The following is a 21,915-nucleotide window of genomic DNA, read 5'->3' on the forward strand; positions in this document are numbered from 1 at the left end:
GGACGGCTTGCACTGTGCACCTAGAAAAGCCACAGACACTCAATGCCAGCCTGTGAAAGCAACCTGGAGAGAGGCTGTACCCTGCAAAACCTCAGGGGCAGAGCTGCCCAAGACCATAGGAACCAACCCCTTGCATCAGCATGACCTGGATGTGAGACATGGAGGCAAAGGAGATCATTTTGGAGCTTTAAGATTTGACTGTCCCACTGGATTTCAGACTTTCATGGGGCCTGTATCCCCTTTGTTTTGGCCAGTTTCTCCCATTTGGGATGGCTGTATTTACCAAATGCTGTACCCCCATTATATCTAGGAAGTAACTAACTCGCTTTTGATTTTACAGGCCCGTAGGTGGAAGGGACTTGCCTTGTCTCGGATGAGACTTTGGACTTTGGACTGTGGACTTTTGAGTTAACACTGAAATGAATTAATACTGAAATGAATTAAGACTTTGGGAGACGGTTGGGAAGCCATGACTCATTTTAAAATGTGAGAACATGAGATTTGGGAGGGGCTGGGGTGGAATGGTATGGTTTGGTTGTGTCCCCACCCAAATCTCATCTTGGATTCCCATGTATTGTGGGAGGGACCCGGTGGGAGGTAATTGAATCATGGGGGCAGGCCTTTCTCATGCTATTTTTGTGATAGTGAATAAGTCTCATGAGATCTGATGGTTTTGAAAAGGGGAGTTTCCCTGCACAAGCTCTCTTCTCTTGTCTGCTTCCAGGTAAGACATGACTTTCACCTTCCGCCATGATTGTGAGGCCTCTCCAGCCATGTGGAACTGTAAGTCCAATAAACCTCTTTCTTTTGCAAATTGCCCAGCAATGTGAAAACAGACTAATACAGTGGGAGATTACTTCTCCATACCCTCTTTGTCTGCCAACCATATCACCTCTGCTGTTTCCTCTCCCCAAAAGGTAACCCATGTTAACCTCTGATTATGATCAAATAATTATATGTATTTATTTATATAAATACCATTTCTTTATATATTTTGAACATATTAATGCATACACAAGTGTGCTAAAGTTTATATTTCTACTGCTCTCACCATCTGTAGCTTGTATGATTTACAGAATTTCATGAACAAAAATACATGAAGTAAAAGGAACCATTATGATGTAAAAGCATATAGATTAATAATATTCTGCTTACTAACAGTTTCTTTTTTCTTTTTTTTTCCTTTGGAGATGGATTTTCTCTGTTATCGCCCAGGCTGGAATGCAATGGCATGATCTTGGCTCACTGCAACCTCCATCTCCTAGGTTCAAGCGATTCTCCTGCCTCAGCCTCCCGAGTAGCTGGGATTACAGGAGTGTGCTATCACACTCGGCAGATTTTTGTATTATTAGTAGGGACACGGTTTCACCATGTTGGTCAGGCTGTTCTCAAACTCCTGACCTCAGGTGATCCACCTGTCTTGGTCTCCCAAAGTGCTGGGATTACAGATGTGAGCCACTGTACCCAGCCTACCAGTGGTATTACCCAGGGATATGAATAGCTAAGCTATACTTTAGGCACAAACCAGCACTATTATCAAGATGCAATATGTGAACTCATCTTTCTTCTAGCATCAGTTCAGAATTAATTTTAATCTGTGTATTGTATACTGCTGCCAAAAACTCATTAACCACAATTAAATTATGAAAGTACATGTGTAAATTTATGGATAGCAATACACAATCCAAAATATGAGTTTGCTATAAAAATAAAGTATATGGGTAGAATCATATTAATTATAAGTAACCAGAACTGTTAATAAGAAATTAATATTAAAATATATTGAATTTGATATTTCCATAACTGAAGTAAACTAATTTAATAAGCGAACCTAACAAGTCTAAAATATCAAAGGAGAATAAGAATAAAGTTTATTATTAAACATACAAGCTATGGCTAATCAACATACTTTCTTATATTTCTTGATAATATGTTGAATTTACTTTTGAGCATGTTTTGAAGAGGTAGTTAGTCAATCTTTATGTCCCTTTTGAAGATATGATGAAATAGTTACATCTCTATTATGGAATAACATGAAGTGGTTTAAAAAATGAATGATGTATGGTCTGGCACGGTGGCTCACACCTGTAATCCCAGCACTTTGGGAGGCCGAGGCAGGTGGATTATCTGATGTCAGGAGTTCAAGACCAGCCTGGCCAATGTGGTGAAACCCCATCTGTACTAAAAATACGAAAATTAGCCAGGCGTTGTGGCGGGTGCCTGTAATCCCAGCTACTTGGGAGGCTGAGGCAAGAGAATTGCCTGAACCTTGGAGGCAGAGGTTGCAGTGAGCCAAGACTGCACCATTGTACTCCAGCCTGGACACCATGAGCAAAACTTCGTCTCAAAAAAAAAAATGATGAATGATGTATTTCTAATTCTAGTGAGAAGGAAAGAGTATCAGTGCATATTGTCAAGTGAAGAAAGCAAACTCCAGAACAAAGCCTATGTATGTTCCTATTTATTAAAAACAAAAGCCGCATATGTATACAAATGTACTCTATCTTTCTGTTATAATTTTATGAATGCAGATGTATGCAAATACATATATTCATATACATAAGACTTAGTCTAAACAGGAATATTCTTTCAGGAGGGAATCTTGCTTCTCCTACAGAAAAATACCTAACATGGCAGGGGCAAAGATAATATTGGACCAAAAAAATCTGGACCTATGTCTATTAAATTGCTCACAGTGTTTATATAATATCGGTGAAGGGAAGTAAAATTGAGGTTAGTGAAAGAGACTCCACGTTTTACCCTAATACTTTTCTACTGTTTGAATTTTTTATAGTTATAATACATTCAGGTATAATACATAATTTATATATAAATACTATATATACATCCATACACACACATATATATATGTGTGTATATATATATTTTAATAAGAAACAAGGTCTTTCTCTCTCACCCAGGCTGGAGTGCAGTGCAGTGATCATAGCTCACTGTAACCTCAAACTCCTAGGCTTGCGTGATCCTCCCACCTCAGCCTCCTGAGTAGCTGGGACTACTGGTGCATGCCACCATGCCCAGCTAAGTTTTAAAATTTTTGTAGAAACAGGGTCTTGCTATGTTGCCCAGGTTGACCTTGAACTCCTGGCCTCAAGAGATCCTTTCCCCTCAGCCTCCCAAAGTGCTTGTATTACAGGCATGAGCCACTGTGCACAGCCTACTTATATTATTTAAAAAACAATTAATCAAATAAGTTGGTTAGGATTAGTTTCAGTGGCATAAACAGAAACTTAAACAATGTGAAAGCTTATTTCTGTCTCCTTCTGCCAGGTGAACACACAGTGTTCATCCCCTCAGGAGGACACAGCTTTTGAGGTACCATCTTGGAAGCAGAGACCAGACCTCACTAGACACAAACTTCCTGGCACCTTGATTTTGGACTTCATAGCCTCTAGAACTGTGAGAAATAAATTTTTATTATTTATAAATTACCCTGTATTGGATATTTTGTTATAGCAGCAGAAAAGGTCTAAGACAATGACTGAAGGACAGAGCTATAGGACTCAAAAGACCCTGGTCTTGAAGCCAGAAAGACCTGGCTTTGCCAGTAGCATGGTATTTCAATTAAGTATGATTAAACACTCTTCGAGGGAATAGAAAGGGGAAGGAAGAATGGAGATGGATCATTTGTTTCATGCCTTTTACTTACGTGTAAGGAATTATGAGCAGGTGCCTATGGATTTTGGAATATGCTTCTATAACACTATAAAAATTAGAAAGTGAAACTTATAGGCACAAATGTCAGTTTAAAATTTCTAATGACAATGGAAGAAATTATTTAGACTCTCTCCTAAACTATTACACCATACATCATTGCAAAACATTTTTTTTCATTTTGCCCAACCTCCACTCCTGTCATTCCACCACTCCTATAGTATCTAAAATATAGTTTCTTTTAGAGAGATTGGTGCACCACTCAACTTGTCAGCTTGAGGGCTTTGAATGGTGTTTTCTTTTTTTTTTTTTTTAATTTCATGGCAAGCTGACTTACAAGTGACTCAACTGTAAGCTAAGACTTATTAATAGCATGGTTTAACCACCAAAGATAATGAATTCAAACAATGTTACTTACAGCCTTTAATGTCACAGCCCCTAAAAACATTGAAATGTACATTTTTCACCTGCTAGTCATCTTCAGTATTCTGGAGAGGAAATATTCTTTCCTGTCCTTACAGTGGTTGTATATCTTAAAAGAGGACTATATGACACTTGAATATTGATATTCAACCTTAACCAAAGCAGTCACAAGAATACAAGCCATTGGCCTCTGGCCTTTTAGATATGTTCCCAACAAGTTCATGTGTACCCCATGAAAAATGTTAAATAAACTGATAAACTTTAAACATTTAAAAATATTTTATTTATTTACTTGCCACAGCTAGATAAGAGGAACTGGGTTAGTTTTGAAACTCTCAGTTTCCTTTTCTCTAAACCAGTAGCTATTGCTGGCCACTAGTATGTTGTTTCCTTTGCAGGAAGTTGCAAAAATGAGAAAGAAAAAAACGAAAAACAAAACCAAGTTGGTATTATTTTTAGCTTTCTTCTTATTTGGATATAGCTACAGTTCTTTTTCTTATGGTGATTAACATAACTATTCAAGAGAGAAGAACCAAGCAAAGGGGAGTAGTAGGGAATTAGTAGGGAATTGTGCCAAAGGACATATGGCAAGGTTATTGTCAGAAAGCTGAGCTGCTGAAATCCAGACAGTTTAAGAGCTTATCTGCTCTGCTCTGCTCCCACCTAGGAGGACTCCTACTACAATGCAAAGACTCAAGTTTCACCTTAATTAGGTCTTTCCCAGGCCAAGTATTAGTGACCTTGGGAAAAAAGTTTACGCTTCTCAGCTTCAGATCTTCCTCTGAATATTAGCACTGTGGTAATTGGCACAGTGGTACCTAACCCTTTGAGGGTCCAGGATTGTTTTAATGGTGAGTGATTTAAAAACTGAGTTTAAAAGAGCAAGGAGGATCCAATTTTGCAAAATTTCATTAACTCTGCTTAAGAAAACAGTATATTATATTAGCTTAGATCAGGAGTTGGGAATCCATAGCCTGCTACCATTTATTGTGTAGCCTGCAAATGGTTTTTACATTTTTAATACATTGGAAAAAAAATTAAAGAAGATTATTATTTCGTGATGTGAAAATTATACATGTTGAAAGGAAAACTTTAGAGTTTAATTGAGTAAAGAATGATCTGTGAATTAGGCAGCCCCCAGAACCAGAGTAGGTTTGGTTACAGCTGAGCATTTGCCTTATTTGAACCTGGTTTGAAGAGTTGGCTGCCTGTGGTTGGCTGAAGTTCAGCTGCTGTGATTGGCTGAGACTCACTACTTGTTACAAGAGTAGGTTACATATCAAGTTTTACATATCAAGTTGAAATATAGTTTTTTATGTACTGGGAAACCTTTAGGGTAAACTTAAAATATGTAAGGAGGCAGCTTTAGGCCACAATGAATTTAACAATTCCTCCTTTTGGTCAACCTGTCAATTTTGAGAGGATGATTAATTTTGAGGTTGCCCAAAACTTTAGGCATTGACATCACTTTTTATCATCATAAATAGAGTTATTTGGTCTCTAATGCCATTGGAAAATAGCAGAACACTGGATTTTGTAAGGTGGGAACAAGGAAACAGTATAGAAAAAAAAAACTGATTGGTTAACATCAGATTACTTTTTTATTTTTTTGTCACCCAGGATGGAGTGCAGTGGCACAATCTTGGCTCACTGCAACCTCACCTTTCGGGTTCAAGCAATTCTTCTGCCTCAACCTCCCGAGTAGCTGGGACTACAGGCATGTGCCACCACACCCAGCTAATTTTTGTATTTTTAGTATAGATGGGGTTTTGCCACGTTGGCCAAGCTGATCTCAAGCTCCTGACCTCAGGTGATCCACCCGCCCTGGCTTTCCAAAGTGCTGGGATTACAGGCATGAGCCACTGTGTCTGGCTGAGATTGCTTTCTTGTAAGTAATCTGTTGTTACTTTGGGTTACTTTTCTGTAAAGGATAGAGCAGAGGGGACTTCCTTATTATACTGGAATCTTCTGTCTTCAGGAGAAGAAAAAAAAAAACTCATCTATTTTGGGACCTGTTTTTTAAAGTTTTAGTTTGATTTTGTGGTGCTTAGCATGAGTGACTCCATTTTGGTTTGGTCTGGTCTGCTTGGGATTAGTGCAGGAGCTCAGTCCAAAACAATGACCTCTCATAATTTTGTTTAATACATGAAATTCAAATTTCAAACTTGTAGACATTTGCTCTCTCTCTTATATTATATAAGTACCTACACAATGTCCTCAAATTTGCTTTTTGATCTGTAAAGACTAAGATATTTATCATCTAGTTTTACAGAAAAGTTTGCAGATCTTCTGGTTTAAAAGAGCAGGAGATTTAGTGTCAGGCAGGTTTGGATTGAGCCCAAGGGCTGCCATTTACTGATTGTATGACTTTGAGCAAGGTATTTATCTTTTCTAAGCCTCAATTTCCTCATCTATAAAATGGGCACACAAATAGTATTTACCTTGGAGAGTTAAATGGGATAATGCATTTAATGTGCTTAACACAGTTGCCTATCAGATGCTTAGGGGCTCAAAACATTACTATTGTTGTTGTTGTTGTTTTACCCTAAAGTAAATGAGACAAAATAGCAAAGCTAAATGAGGAGGAATTTTTAAGTTACATCAGAAACTGTAATAGATTCTAAAATATTATAATTAAGAAATTTCATACTTATTTAAAAAGGCATTTTCAATTTAACAATTTAACAATTTAACCCTCTTATAAGTTAAAAAAAAAAAAAAAAAAAGCCCGGCACAGTGGCTCACGCCTGTAATCCCAGCTCTTTAGGAGGCTGAGGTGGATGGATCAGGAGGTCAGGAGTTCAAGACCAGCCTGGCTAACGTGGTGAAACCTCGTCTCTACTAAAAATACAAAAATTAGCTGGGCGTGGTGGTGCATACCTGTAATCCCAGCTACTCAGGAGGCTGAGGCAGGAGAATCGCTTGAACCCGGAGGCAGAGGTTTCAGTGAGCCAAGATCGTGCCACTGCACTCCAGCCTCAGCAACAGATCAAGACTCCATCTCAAAAAGAAAAAAGAAATAAAAATAAAAAGTCATGACCAGCTATTTTGGGAGAACTGAAATTACAACTCTATCTGAGAAAATAAAATGACAGGACTCCACAGAATCCATAGATAAAAATTTAACTGAAGAGGAATATGGAACAGACTAAAGGAAAAATTTTATCAAGCTGTAATCTTTATACTTGTGCCTGAGGCCAGAACTTGAAACTGCTGAAGACAGTGTTTCTCTACAAATGTACACAGGCACCCCATTTTGATGCACAGATAGGTGTTTATTTCTTTTAAGAATAGCAGCTTTATTGAGATAAATTTCACATATGATACAATTCACCAATTTAAAGTGTACAAGTCAATGGTTTTCAGTATAATCAGAGTTGTACTACCATCACCATAATCAATTTTAGAACATTTTCATCACCGCCCAAAAACCACTGTAGTCTCTCCCCAGCCCTCCACTCCTGGGAACCATTAATGTACTTTCTGTTTCTATAGATTTGCCTATTTTGGATATTTTATGTAAATGGGATCATACAACGTGTGGTCTTTTGTGAATAGCTTTTTTCACTTACCATAATGTTTTCAAGATTGGTTCATGTTGTAGCAGGTATCAGTCCTTTTTCCTGTTTATTGCCAAATAATTTTCCATTGTACGGATAGATCATATTTTGTTTATCCATTTGTCACATTTTGGTTGTCTATCAGTTGATAGATATTTGTGGTGCATTTAATTTTTGGCCAATGTGTAAAACTTATTTTGCTCTCACTGAGGCTACATACTGTTACAACAATGCTATTTGGTCAACTTGACTGAGCTGGCCTCATAAGTTACAGGTTGCTCATTGTTAGAGATGAGACTTTAGACCAGACTGGACAACATAGTGAGACCCTGTCTCTACCAAAAAGAAAAAGAAAAATTAGCCAGATATAATGGCATATGACTGGAGTCCCAGCTACTTGGGAGGCTGAGATGGGAGGATCACCTGAGCCCAGGAGTTTAGGACTGCAGTGAGCTGTGATCGTGCCAATGCAATCCATGCTGGGCGACAGAGTGAGACCCTGTCTCAAAACACAGAAAGAGGGATTTTAGTATAACATTCAGCCAGTGCCATATTGGGAACCCACAAGAATGTACTTTAAAAAATATGTCAAAGAACGTGGTGAGGGCTGTAATAGCTGCTATTCAGGCAGTAATGCAGTGCTGAAGGGACATCAAGCAAATAGTGTGATGCCTGTGGGTGCAATGTTACTCCTTCCCTTAGGTTGCCAAAAAAATCAATACTTCATAGCATTCCTGAAACGAAAAAGCTTATGAACCATTGTGTTTAGGGCGTAAGCTATCTATTTTGGGCTACCCATCACAGCTTCTCTCCTTTGGTAGAATAAAGTGAACTGAACCACCATGCCTAAGGTATTTGCCTTATTTCTTCCTCAGCTGGTTCATGGTTACATTGTCAAAGCTGGCAAAGCATTCAAGACCTGATTTCTCAGACCGAGTGTATGTGTGAATATAATATACTCATTTGCACAAATATAAACCCTCTGTCTTAACTGTGTTCTGCAAAAGGCGTGATAAATACTTTCAAGTTATATGTCCTTATCAGTAGAACTAATGGAATACACACAGTATATTATATGGGGAATTTCAGAGAAGGAAGGAAAAGTCAACCTTTTATTTGGCATCAGGATAGTAGTAAAACATTCTACTTGTGCATCAGATAGATTTTTATGACCTAACCTGGACAAGTAACTTAACTCTTGGTGCCTCATGTTTGAAAGAGGGATAACACTCTACAGGGTCATTCTAAGAATTAAATATTGCCAAAACACATGAAAAGATTCTCAACCTTGTTAGTAATCAAGGAAATGCAAATGAAGATCACAATGAAGTCTTCTTTTGTACTCAATTGATTGGTGAAAAATGCATGCCTGATAATATTGACATAACAGACCAATGAGATCTCTTATAATTTGCTGGGAAAATGTATCAATTTGTACAAACATTTTGAAAAATAATTGTGCATTTTCTTGTGAAGTAAAACATTTGAATAATCTAGGACCCAGCAATTCAGCTCTTACACAGACACTCAAGAGGAAGTTGCACACACATATGTCAGGAAAAATGTTCATAGCAGCCCTGTTCATAAGAGCAAAACCTGGAACAATTGAGAGGAAATGAATAAATTGCCGTGTAGCCACACAATAGAATACAAGACAGCAGTGATGCTGAAAAATATAGCAAGCCTCAGGAGTTTATATATTATATGGATAATTTTATGAAGCTCAAAAACACCCAAAATTAAACAACATATTCTGTAAGTACATACGTGGGATATGTGATAAAACTAAAAGGGAATGATCAGCAATCCAGAACCAATTCATGACTGTTGTTACTATCTTATGGGGCAGGCTGTGGATTGGAAGCAGGGGCGGTGCACATAGGTACGTGTAACTTACTGGTAATGCTTTTAGGTTAGGAATGAGGTCAAAGGAGTTCACTATAAATTTATATTAGAAAGAAGGGCTATCTATGGATTAGTGATGAGAGTGTCATGCACCAGCAAATACGATTAATGAACTTAGGTTACCTGAGGTCCAAATAAATAATGAGAAAAAAGTAAATAAAAGTGATGCATGAATACTAAAAATTTGGAATTACATATATAATATGTAATAATAAAAAAAGAAAAAATTGTCACTGGTTATCCTTCAGGTATAAAAATTACAATTAAAATTGTAATGTTATAACCTTCCATTCTTTCCCCTATGAATTAAAACTTTTTCTTTTAACGAGACTAAAAAATCAAGTTGATAAAATCTATGCCCTGTGGGAACTGGTTAGGTCAGGCTACCCACTCCAGATTTCCAGCAGGCTGGCCTCAGCTCTACCTACAGCCAGTAGCTTATTAAGGCTCTAGGCGCCAGTGACACCTTCAGACAGGTGGTTAGTGCGCCCTAAGGACTCTCCGCAGCGTCGCTCAGGTTCACAGAACACGCCCAGGGGCGTGTCCAGCTGTCGTCGGGGAGAGCCCACCTCCCCGGGGGGTGTGGCTAAGGGACGAGGCGCTTCTCGTCCAGAGCCCAGGTAATCCGGGCGGGATCAGCGAGCGTCGCGATGTGATGACGTCAGGCCCCGGGCAGGCCGGGAGTGGCGTGCTGGGCGTGCGCGGCTGCGGTACGGCGTGTTGGTCCCAGCGGTTCAGCTGAGGTAGGGACGTGCTGTAGGCCGGAATGTTACCGGCTGTTGGATCTGCGGATGAGGAGGAGGATCCTGCGGAGGAGGATTGTCCTGAATTGGTTCCCATGGAGACGACGCAAAGCGAGGAGGAGGAAAAGTCTGGCCTCGGCGCCAAGATCCCAGTCACAATTATCACCGGGTATTTAGGTAACTAACCATCCCAGTCACAAAATGGCGTGACCTCTGGTGTCATGGGATTTTGCGGGCTGCCGGTGCCTCTTCTCCTGAGGCATTGGGGCCTCATGATCAAGAGCAAATGTCTTCGAGGTAGGGGCTGGGTCACTTGCTTCTCGTATGGGTTGCCTCTCATCTTGGGAGTTAATGATGCCCGGCCCCCTCTGCGTTAGATTCCCATTTCTCAAGTGAGATGGAAAGTTAGCCTTTGAAACAAGGCTTTGACGCTAAGACACGCCCCCCTGATTGTCTCTGTGACCTCCTACCAAGTTATCTTACCTTCCTGACGCTCATCTACCTCACCTGAAAATGGAGAAATACCTGTCACCTGTGAAACAGGGCCGGAACCACCTACCTGTTGCCATTAAAGGATGTCCCGTCTGTAAAATGCCCGACACGTGGGGCTTTCGTCAGTAGATTCCCCTTCCCCACGAGCCAAAGTCCTCCAGCCAGTTGGCAGGGAGCGCTCCTATCTTAAACACTTTTTTTTTGAGGTCTGTTTGTAAACCACTGCGTAGGAAGTAAGAATAAAATCTCTGTCCTCCAAGACTATTTCTCAAACTAAGAACGTTTAGAGTGTACAGGGATACTCGAAACCACAAGTTTGTGAACTTGGTAGTTTCGTGAAGGGCGGTTTATGCACTTACACTAGAAGTTTCTTACTGGAAAAGTTTGAGAAATATATTTTTAAACCTTACAGTTAAATAGAAGGGCTAGAACAAATATATGACTGTATTAGAAGTTTGGAAAAAGTTAAGAAATGTAAATAAAATGATACTGTTTCCGGGAAATAATATTCCTAGTTGTTGCTAGAGACAGGTACAGACTTGGGCCACTTCGTGACCTTTTATGTAAAAATAAGAAATAACTGCTTTTGTTTTTTAAAAAACTTTGTAGACTGTAAGTTTATTCCCGTTTTTTGCTCGGAAGTAATTTTATAAAGGAATTTATTTTTGGCGTTTCCCCACAGTTATTCAGAGGCTGCTCTGCTGAGAAGATGAACAAATTTCTTGTCCAAAACAATGTATTTCAAACGTGCCGCTCGGGCCTTTCCCGTATTGCTCACTGGTAGGTCAGTAGATCACTGGAGAAAATGATCTGAAGCTCAGGAGTGAGAATTAATACCAGCAACCTTGTTGCTGAATCTAGGGATAGTTTCACTCCTATCCCTGACCATTTTCCCTTTCTGAAACACTGTTCTTTTGGCTTCTATTACATTTTTCTTCTGATTTTTCCACCTGCTTCTCTGGCTTCTTTTTAAGGCTCCCTCCTCCTTCCCCCTTTGTCCATCTTTAGCTACACACCTGTGTAATTTCTATTTTGATGTCCTACAACTTAAAACTTAACATGTCTGAAACTTCGTCTGTTACCATCCCCCCAAATCCTGCTTCTGTGATCCCAACCATTTGTAATACTCTAAAAGCCTCCTGACTAATCTGGAGTCTTGCTGCCCTTTAATTTATTCGTTGCATGTTAGCCTTAATGATCTTTATAAATGTCAATCCGACTGCGTCACACCTTTCAGTGGCATCCCTATGGGTTAAAATCCAAATTCCTTAACATGAATTACAAGGACCTGTAGCATCTGGATCTTGCCAACCTTTCCAGCCTGCCAAATTGGCCCCGCACAATGAACTAATGTTACTTCAAAGGTGCCAAGTGTTTTAGCCCCTTGGAATAGGTACTTTTTTACTGTGACTCCTCTGGCTAGATGTCCCTCTTAGGTTCTCCATAGCATTTTGTGCATCTCCTATTGAATATGTCACCCTGTGACATAATTGCCTCCTTATTCACTGAATTCCCCTCCATTCCCCCCTTCCCTTAATTTTTTTTTTTTTTTTTTTTTTTTTTTTGAGACGGAGTCTCGCTCTGTCGCCCAGGCTGGAGTGCAGTGGCGGGATCTCGGCTCACTGCAAGCTCCGCCTGCCGGGTTCACGCCATTCTCCTGCCTCAGCCTCCCAAGTAGCTGGGACTACAGGCGCCCGCCACTACGCCCGGCTAATTTTTTGTATTTTTAGTAGAGACGGGGTTTCACCGTTTTAGCCGGGATGGTCTCGATCTCCTGACCTCGTGATCCGCCCGCCTCGGCCTCCCAAAGTGCTGGGATTACAGGCGTGAGCCACCGCGCCCGGCCCCCTTAATATTTCTAAGCTCTATGAAGGCAGAGACTATCTTGTTCACTTTTTCACCAAGGCTCAGCATAAATCTGTAACGTATTAGAAACCTTCGAATGAATGAGCTATGTCTTAAAGTGTTTTTTTTTTCATAATATGGTTAAAAAGCCCTAGTAAATCTTCTCTTAGAAGATTTCTTACATTCACCCTTTCCTTTCAGTTTTCACATCACTGCCCTGTGAAACACTCATGTTCAGGGCCTCTGTCTCAGGCTTGGACTGGTTTTAAGATTTTCCTCATTGCCCTAAGTCTCTCCCATTCTATACTTCATATTTTTGTGATGTTGAGCTTCCTAAAGTACTCTAAATATAAGCCTTCATCTCTTAAAAAGCTTTGAAAGGAATATGACCTAAAAGATATTAATACCCTAATACTCTGTAAAATCTTCCTAGTTATATACTAGAAAACTTAATGTATTTCAGAAGACATGTATAGCCTACATGTAAAAGTTTTTAGCAGCACTGTAATAGTAAAACACTGGAAACAAACCAAATGTCCAACAAAAAAAAAAGATAAAGAAATGATATAGTCATACAATTGAACTACAATACTATGCAGTTAGGATTTTCTTTTTTTCCTCTATGAATTTTAGTGTGTACGGTTCACAAGACTATTTTTTTTCTACTGGAGATTGACATATTGGGTTTTATATGCCACCTGCTGGATAAAGTTGGTATAGCTTTATGAATTTATCTTACTGAACATTCTGTCCATTGTTGACACTACCTGGCTCTATTCCCCATTTCATAAAAACTTTTATAGATTGTTTAAAGCATACTATAAGTAGCCATATAGTCAGCCTGAAGTTGCGTCTTGTTAATGTTGAAATAAAAGGTCATTATAAATAAAAGATTGTGTGTAAATTTTAGGGAAGGTTAGGCTAGGTTGAAGAAACTGTTTCAACTTGTAGGAGTGTTTGTAAATATTTATAAAATTTTATGTCTACATAAAGTATTTTGCAACAGGTTTCAAAGGATGCTTTAATCTTATCCTCTAGGATATTCTATACTAAAATAATATATGAAAAATAGCACGCAAATTCTCAAAAACGTTAGGATTCTTTATATGTTTTTTGTATCTTTAAAATTATTTTGAATTTTTTTATTTACAAAAAATATGTTTTATAGGTGCTGGGAAGACAACACTTCTGAACTATATTTTGACAGAGCAACATAGTAAAAGAGTAGCGGTCATTTTAAATGAATTTGGGGAAGGTAAGTAAAGTTCAATAAATGTCATGTTGCAAGATTTTGTGTGACTGTTTATTCCTCTGGTGAATTGCTATTCCATATTTAAAAATGAAAATGCAAGGTATTGTATTGATGTGGATAGCTTTAGAAAAGTTGGATTAATTTCTGTTAAGATTTATATGGGTTGAGATACTGAAATTAGTTTTAATAAAATTTTATTTTGTATAACTTTGGAATTCTTATTAACAGAATTAAACTACATTTTTACATGAAATAAATGACTCCAGAAGTAAAAATCTAGACATATGAAAAAACGTTTATTTTTTATTTTATTTTATTTTTTTTGAGATGGAGTCTCTCTCTGTCGCCAGGCTGGAGTGCAGTGGTGCAATCTCAGCTCACTGCCACCTCTGTCTCCTGGGTTAAAGTGATTCTCCTGCCTCAGCCTCCCGAGTAGCTGGGACTACAGGCGTGCGCCACCATGCCCAGATAATTTTTGTATTTTTAGTAGAGACAGGGTTTCACCATGTTGGCCAGGATGGTCTTGAGCTCCTGGCCTTGTGATCCACCTGCCTCGGCCTCCCAAAGTTGCTGGGATTACAGGCATGAGGCACCATGCCTGGCCAAAAAATGTTTTTTTTAGGAATTAGGAAGGCACTTTTGTATGGACTCTATTGCAACTCATGAAAAATACTTGAAAATGCTTCTGTTATTAGTTAACTTTGTTTAATGTTTATTATCTGCAATGCAGTTAAAACTCAATATTTTAAAAATAAAGGTAAACATATGGTCTTTATCCTCATGTATTTTAAGTTATCTGTGAAAATAAGTGTGCTTAACTTCTCAACTGAAATATTAAACTGTAGTCAAAAAAATAGCTCTAGACACAATACTTCTGTTATCTTTATAGAAGTTTTTCTTCATAAGTATGAATTGTAATCAAAGCTCACTTCTAGCCAAAAAACAATATCTATTAAATGATTTCTTTTAAAATGTACTATTTTTTTTCAGTTGTAAAAAGTAAAAGAGCTAGGTTTTATGAACAGGATGGGAAGCCAGTTATATTCGATTTCTGGTTTTAATAAACTAAAGAGAAAAGTGCTTTTTAGGCAAAAATCCTGAGATTTCTAATAACAGACTGTTTTTTTATCATCTTATTAAATAACCTATTGCACACTGATTACATTTATTCTTACTATTTTCTTTATTTTTTCCTGGATCATTTTCGCAATTTTATTTTTCACAGCATTCTCAATACTTTTCTTCATGTTTCCTTAATGTTCTGTATATAGTCCGAATTCTGTAGCAACCTCTTTAGAAGCTCTTTATTAATACCTAGCTGAAATATAAAAAATACGTAAGTGTAAAACTACTCGATTTTATGGGAGCTCATTTGCTTAGTGGGCTTTTAGAACTTCACCGTTTGGTATATTTCTTTATTAGAGGAAAAGTAAAACATTTAAAATAATTCTTATAGATAACAAGCATTTCAAATATAGTTTATTCTTTCTTAAGTAAGTATTGCTAGGAAAATATGTGAATTTGACTAAAAGTTTAGGTTTTTTTTTTTTTTGAGATGGAGTCTCGCTGTGTTGCCCAGGCTGGAGTGCAGTGGCACAGTCTCGGGTCACTGCAACCTCCGCCTCCCGGGTTCACGCCATTCTCCTGCCTCAGCCGCCTGAGTAGCTGGGACTACAGGCGCCCGCTACCACACCTGGCTAATTTTTTGTAATTTTAGTAGAGATGAGGTTTCATTGTGTTAGCGAGGATGGTCTCGATCTCCTGACCTCGTGATCCGCCCGCCTTGGCCTCCCTGTAAGTTTAATTTTTAAATGAGCACATGGTACACTGGCCAAAAACCTTCCTCAAGATGAACTAGGGTTTTTACTCATTGGGAATATTCAGCAGTTTGTCTAACAGAAACAATTTAGAAGAAGAATGAAAAGAAAAAGATAGATAAGGCAGTCTCTTAAGAGGTTGAAGGGCATACAAAATCCAGTATATAAAACATACTAGTCTATTTAGAAAGTTTACCCTGGACAAGAAAAAAATGCCTTCAAGATAGCTACTTTATTAAGAAATGGGGGTGGCCAAGTAAGAGGCCTAAGGAGGAAGTAGGTATGTTTATCAGTTTAGGATGTGTCTTTTTCAGGGCTTAAGTCATCTTAAATAAAAGCTAACATAATGTAGTGTACTGTAATTTAGATATCGAGGCTGCATGAATAAAATGAAAGAATATAAGTTATAAAATGCAGTTTCTGCTTTAAGATCTCCATTATTGAGTTATCCTCATCTTTGTTTTTTGTTGGCTAATGGACATAAGCTAAAGAGTGCTGTTTGTTAATTATTCTAGGAAGTGCGCTGGAGAAATCCTTAGCTGTCAGCCAAGGTGGAGAGCTCTATGAAGAGTGGCTGGAACTTAGAAACGGTTGCCTCTGCTGTTCAGTGAAGTGAGGAATGTGTTTACTGTGTACATGGTTTACTAGAAATGTTTATTGATTATATTTCCAGCTTTAATTTTCTTGAGTAATTTAACTGAATTTACACAGTTTGCTTCATTGTATTTTCAAACAAATAGAAAATAAACTTATTAGGAAGCATTTTCTTAAAGTGTTTCTTGCTGTCTTTTCTATCTGCTCTAATGTTTTGGTCCTTTTATTGAGTTTTTATTGCTTTTGATGTCAGGGCTTATTTAATCTCTAGTGCATGAAAGTCTCATATGTAAAAAATGATTATTCTGAATTTAATCTGTCATTGGTCATATTTCTAAGTGTTCAACCTTATAAAAAAAATAAATGACTATCAAAAAAGAGAAAAACCTTACATTATGTTCTACTAGTTAAGTTTTCAAGGACAGTGTTCACTAGTCTACCATAGACCCTAGAAGAGTTACCCAACACATAGTAGCACTCAAATATTTGTTGAATGAATTATAAAAATGACTACTTGTACTGTTAATTTTGTGTATTCTAGTGAATTAAATCTCTTCGGCATCATTTACTCCCTTAGGTATTTGACTTTGTGTCAAATGTTTTGGCAAGGATAAAATTATAACAGACTTTCTTGAACAACCAAAATATAATCTATTAAGGATTTTCCTTCACTTTTGATAAAATAAGAAAAAAGGAAATTAAAACCTTGCATCCTAATGTAAAATAGAATTATATGGTGTTTAATATCAGTGTCCCTTTAGCTATTATATTAAACTACTATAGTTAATAAATTTTATCATTATTTTGTATGTTGGTTTTTAAAAATTTCATAAAGCTATAAAAAGATACTTGGTCAGATAAAGTTTCCTCTGCTTTTAATTTTAATAAAGTATTATTATGTATATGATTTCTTTTTACCTATTATATATATGCATCTATTGTTTTCTCACTGGTAAATATGGGACGGACATTTTGTTAGAAGGTTAGAAGTGAGTTAAATTTTCACATTCCTAAGGGTACTTTTGTCTTGGGTTGTTGAATATATTTTAAAGTGTTTATAATAATCACTTCAAAATATTTAGGTAATTAACTGTAAATGATGTTTTGGTATTCTCCAGGGACAATGGCCTTAGAGCTATTGAGAATTTGATGCAAAAGAAGGGGAAATTTGATTACATACTGTTAGAGACCACTGGATTGGCAGACCCAGGTAAGAAGTGAGGTTGTTAATAACCAGAATATAGTTCTGTGATATACTGTAAATAGATGTATTAGAGGAATATCTAACATGAGGATTAAAGCTTTTGTTAGTATTAAACCAAAAACTTTTTTTGGTTTAAAAGAGGAAAAGTACTCGGTTGTCATTTTCTTTGGCAGTTGAATGAATGAACGGAGTATTTCTTGGTACTTTTAAGCTGTTAATAGAATTTGAAGTTTTATTGATTGACTTAGGATTATTTGTAAGAACAGAAGTTGTTAAAAATAAGGACATGTAGGAAGAGCAGAGACGTTCTACCTCTAAGTACAGTTGTCCCTTGGCATCCATGGGGTATTAGTTCCGGAACCTCTGAGGATACCAAAATCTATTAATGTTCAAGTCCCTTACATAAAATGGTGTAGTATTTGCCTATAACCTATGCACATCCTCCCATATACTTTAAATCATCTGTAGATTACTTATAATACCTAATACAATGTAAGTGCTGTGTAAGTAGTTATTACACTGCATTGATAAGGGAATCATGACAGGGAACTCTGAACTCTACTATGGAAAGCTACACAGAGTCAACCTGTTTCTAACAATGGGTTTCTGTTACCTTCTTACCAAGCTCTAATTCTTGATAAAGTCTGCTTATTTTCCCCAAATAACTTTTAGATAAAATCTTTATTTTCAGTTTGCATAAAAGTTAGTGCTTATTCTGTGAATCTGTGAATCTGACCCATACCATTATTTTTTTTTTTTTTTTTGATCTGGGTCTCTGGCATTGGGGCGATTTGTAAAACTATATTAAAGTATTTGGGGGTAATTTACTAAACAGGTCATAGTTGTCCAAAAGAAATATTGAAGTATCCTGAGAGTTCAAATGTGATCCGTGGTTATTGTAATTAAAACAATTACATAATAACATCATCCCCATGTTTTCAAAGTAGTATTGAATTAGGCTATTTTGGTCCTTATAGTAGGCATGGGTTTTCATACCTTTCTGATAAATCTGACTGATGATAGGACTTGGACTAATATGTTGGTGTTAAATATTTGAATCTGGTAAGAAAGAAAAATATATTGTATGCTTTTATTAGAAATAGCAAATATCAGTTTATTTCATCATAGCCAGTTTTGCCATTTTATAGACAAAAACTTGATACTTTTGAGAGTTTAATTAAACACGATTCAGCTTTTCAGAGGAAGAAAGAAAAACTAAAGATCACAGAGAAAGCTTTTATACAAATTGTAGTTATAAAAAATCTTAATGTTTCTTGCTTCTAACTTTCTTTACAATAAAGATTTTATTGTTTGGGTAAAGATGGAACATTCATTGTAAAAAAATTTAAATACCTAAAAAATACAAAGAAGAAAGTTGAAAAGTAATCATCTCACTATTGTGATATACAAGTAGGGGCTGGGCATGGTGGCTCATGCCTGTAATCCCAGCACTTTGGAAGGCTGAGGCAGGTGGATCCCTTGAGGCCAGGAGTTCAAGACCAGCCTAGCCAACATGGTGAAATCCAGTCTCTACTGAAAATTCAAAAACTAGCCAGGCGTTGTGGCGCACCCCATAATCCCAGCTACTCAGGAGGCTAAGGCATGAGAATCACTTCAAAGCTGGGAGGCGGAGGTTGCGGTGAGCCGAGATCACGCCACTGCACTCCAGCCCAGGCAACAGAGCAAGACTGTATACACACACACACACACGCACATGCACACGCACACACACACACACACACATTCATACACACACACACATTCATACACACACACACAAGTAGGTAAATTTTATTCCAGGGATCTCTCTATGCCAGTGCTACTTGGTAGTATGTTGAATGGCAGCCTCAGCCTCATCTGGGAGCTTGTTAGAAAGGCAAATTCTTGACCAACCCAGATCTACTGAATCGGAATCTCTAAGGGAGGGGGTCAAGCAAGCTGTTTTTAATAAGCCCTTCAGGTGATTCTTATACTGTACAGCCATACCGCAGGGATATTGTGGGCTTAGTTCCATATCACTGCAGTAAACTGAATATCACAATAGAGTGAGTCACACACATTTTTTTGTTTCCCATTGCATATAAAAGTTATGCGTTTTGGCCGGGTGTGATGTCACAGGCCTGTAGTCCCAGCTACTTGGGAGGATCACTTGAGCTCAGGAGTTTGAGGCTGCAGTGAGTCATGATTGCACCACTGCACTCCAGCCTGGATGACAGCATGAGACCCCATTTCTTAAAAAAAAAAAAAAAAGCTGTGTTTATACTATACTGTAGTCTATAAAATGTGTAATAGAATTGTCTAAAAAACATACATACCTTAATTAAAAATATTTATTGCTAAAAAATGCTAACAATCATCTCAGCTTTCAGCAAGTCATAATCTTTTTGCTGGTAGAGGGTCTTGCCACAATGTTGATGGGTGCTGACCAATCAGGGTAGTAGTTACTGAAGGTTGGGGTGGCTATCGCAATTTCATAAGATAATAATGAAGTTTGCTGCATTAGTTGACTCTCCCTTTCATAAAAGATGTCTCTATAGCACATGATGCTATTTGATAGCATTTTACCCACAGTATGACTTCTTTCAAAATTGGAGTCAGTCCTCTCAAACCCTGCTTTATCAATTAAGCTTCTGTCATATTTTAAATCCTTTGTTGTCATTTTGACAGTGTTCATAGCATCTTCACCAGGAGTAGATTCCATCTCAAGAAACCACGTTCTTTTCCCGTCCATAAGAAACAACTTCTCATTAGTTAAAGTTTTCTTATGAGATTGCAGGAATTGAGTCACATCTTCAGACTCCCCTTCTAATTCTAGTTCTCTTACTGTTTCCACCACATCTGCAGTTATTTCCTCCATTGAAGTCTGGAATCCCTCAAAGTCATCTGTGAGGGCTGGAATCATCTTTCAAACTCCTATTCATGTTGATACTCTATTCATGTTGATACTTTGATCTCCCATGAATCACAAATGTTCTTAATGGCATCTAGAATGATGAATCCTTTCCAGAAGGTTTTCAATTTAGTTTGCCCAGATCCATCAGAGGAATCACTGTCTATGGTAGCTATAGCCTTATGAAATATATTTCTTAAATAAGACTTAAAAGTCAAAGTTACTCCTTGATCAGTGGGCTGCAGAATGGATGTTGTGTTAGCAGGCATGAAAACAACATTAATCTCCTTGTACATCTCCATCACAGCTCTTGGGTGATCAGGTGCGTTGTCAATGAGCAATAATATTTTGAAGGAATCTTTTCTTTTCTAAGCAGTAGATCTCAATGGTGGGCTTAAAATAAACCATGCTGTAAACAGATGTGCTGTCATCTAGGCTTTATTATTTATAGAAAACAGGCAGAGGAGATTTAGCATAATTCTTAATGGCCCTAGAATTTTCAGGATGGTAAATGATTATTGGCTTCAACTTGAAGTCACCAGCTGCTTTAGCCTCTAACAAGAGAGTCAGCCTGTCCTTTGAATCTTTGAAGCCAGGCATTGACTTCTCTATAGCTATGAAAGTCCTAAATGGCATCTTCTTCCAAAAGGAGGCCATTTCATCTCCATTAAAAATCTGTTGCTGGCCGGGCTCGGTGGCTCATGCCTGTAATCTCAGCACTTTGGGAGGCCGAGGTGGGCAGATAACGAGTTCAGGAGTTCAAGACCAGCCTGGCCAACATAGTGAAACCCCATCTCGGCTAAAAATACCAAAAATTAGCCTGGCTTGGTGGTGGGAGCCTGTAATCCCAGTTACTTGGGAGGCTGAGGCGGGAGAATGGCTTGAACCCGGGAGACGGAGGTGGCTGTAAGCTGAGATTGCACATTGCACTCCAGCCTGGGTGACAGAGCGAGACTCCATCTCAAAATAAATAAATAAATAAATAAAAAATAAGTCTGTTGCTTAGTGTAGCTACTTTCATGAATGATGTTAGCTACATCTTCTAGGTAGTTTACTACAGCTTCTATATCAGCATTTGCTGCTTTCCCTTGCACTTTTGTGTTATGGAGATGGCTTCTTTCTTTAAATCTTGTGAACCAACCTCTGCTACCTTCCAACTTTTCTTCTCTAGCTTCCTCACCTCTCTCAGCCTTCATAGAACTGAAGAGAGTTAGGGTTGCTCTGAATTAGGCTTTGGCTTAAGGGAACATTGTGGCTTGTTTGATCATCTATCCAGACCACTTCATATCAGCAATAAGGCTGTTTCATTATCATTTGTGTGTTTACTGGAGTAGCACTTTTAATTTCCTTCAAGAACTTTTCCTTTGCATTCACAACTTAGCTAACTGGCTCAAGAGACCTAGCTTTTGGCGTATCTTGGCTTTCAACATAACTTCCTCACCAAGCATAATCATTTCTAGCTCTTGATTTAAAGTGAGAAACAGGTGACTGTTCCTTTCACTTGAACACTTAGAGGCC

The 21,915-nt window shown here is 37.9% G+C and overlaps 1 protein-coding gene across 14 annotated transcripts in view, besides 3 other annotated features; it reads left to right on the forward strand.

The window, feature by feature from the left end:
- Window positions 9,976-10,035: an enhancer, noted in NCBI's record as "active region_16419". NCBI's record gives its function as "activates an Ori minimal core promoter by ATAC-STARR-seq in GM12878 lymphoblastoid cells {active_cell/tissue: GM12878}" and the evidence as "EXISTENCE:reporter gene assay evidence [ECO:0000049][PMID:35858748]".
- Window positions 10,056-10,105: an enhancer, noted in NCBI's record as "active region_16420". NCBI's record gives its function as "activates an Ori minimal core promoter by ATAC-STARR-seq in GM12878 lymphoblastoid cells {active_cell/tissue: GM12878}" and the evidence as "EXISTENCE:reporter gene assay evidence [ECO:0000049][PMID:35858748]".
- The window catches only part of ZNG1B (Zn regulated GTPase metalloprotein activator 1B), a 58,514-nt gene continuing 46,747 nt past the window's right edge, over window positions 10,149-21,915 (forward strand). For 10 of the 14 annotated variants that reach the window (NR_138473.1, XR_244814.2, XR_427073.2 and 7 more), the window contains exons 1-4: window positions 10,149-10,480; window positions 13,809-13,895; window positions 16,225-16,321; window positions 17,422-17,513. Coding sequence is in view for 7 of the 14 variants with exons in the window: in NM_172003.3 (NP_742000.1) it covers window positions 10,327-10,480; window positions 13,809-13,895; window positions 16,225-16,321; window positions 17,422-17,513 (430 nt within the window). In the remaining 7 variants the exon portion in view is untranslated. Of the gene's footprint in view, window positions 10,481-11,477; window positions 11,576-13,808; window positions 13,896-16,224; window positions 16,322-17,421; window positions 17,514-21,915 lie in introns of those variants that run through there. The other 4 variants (NR_138474.1, NM_001330340.1, NM_001330339.1 and 1 more) reach the window with 2 other exon arrangements.
- Window positions 10,196-10,245: an enhancer, noted in NCBI's record as "active region_16421". NCBI's record gives its function as "activates an Ori minimal core promoter by ATAC-STARR-seq in GM12878 lymphoblastoid cells {active_cell/tissue: GM12878}" and the evidence as "EXISTENCE:reporter gene assay evidence [ECO:0000049][PMID:35858748]".

This window comes from Homo sapiens, chromosome 2, assembly GCF_000001405.40.
Source record: "Homo sapiens chromosome 2, GRCh38.p14 Primary Assembly".
NCBI classification, from domain to species: Eukaryota; Metazoa; Chordata; class Mammalia; order Primates; family Hominidae; genus Homo; species Homo sapiens.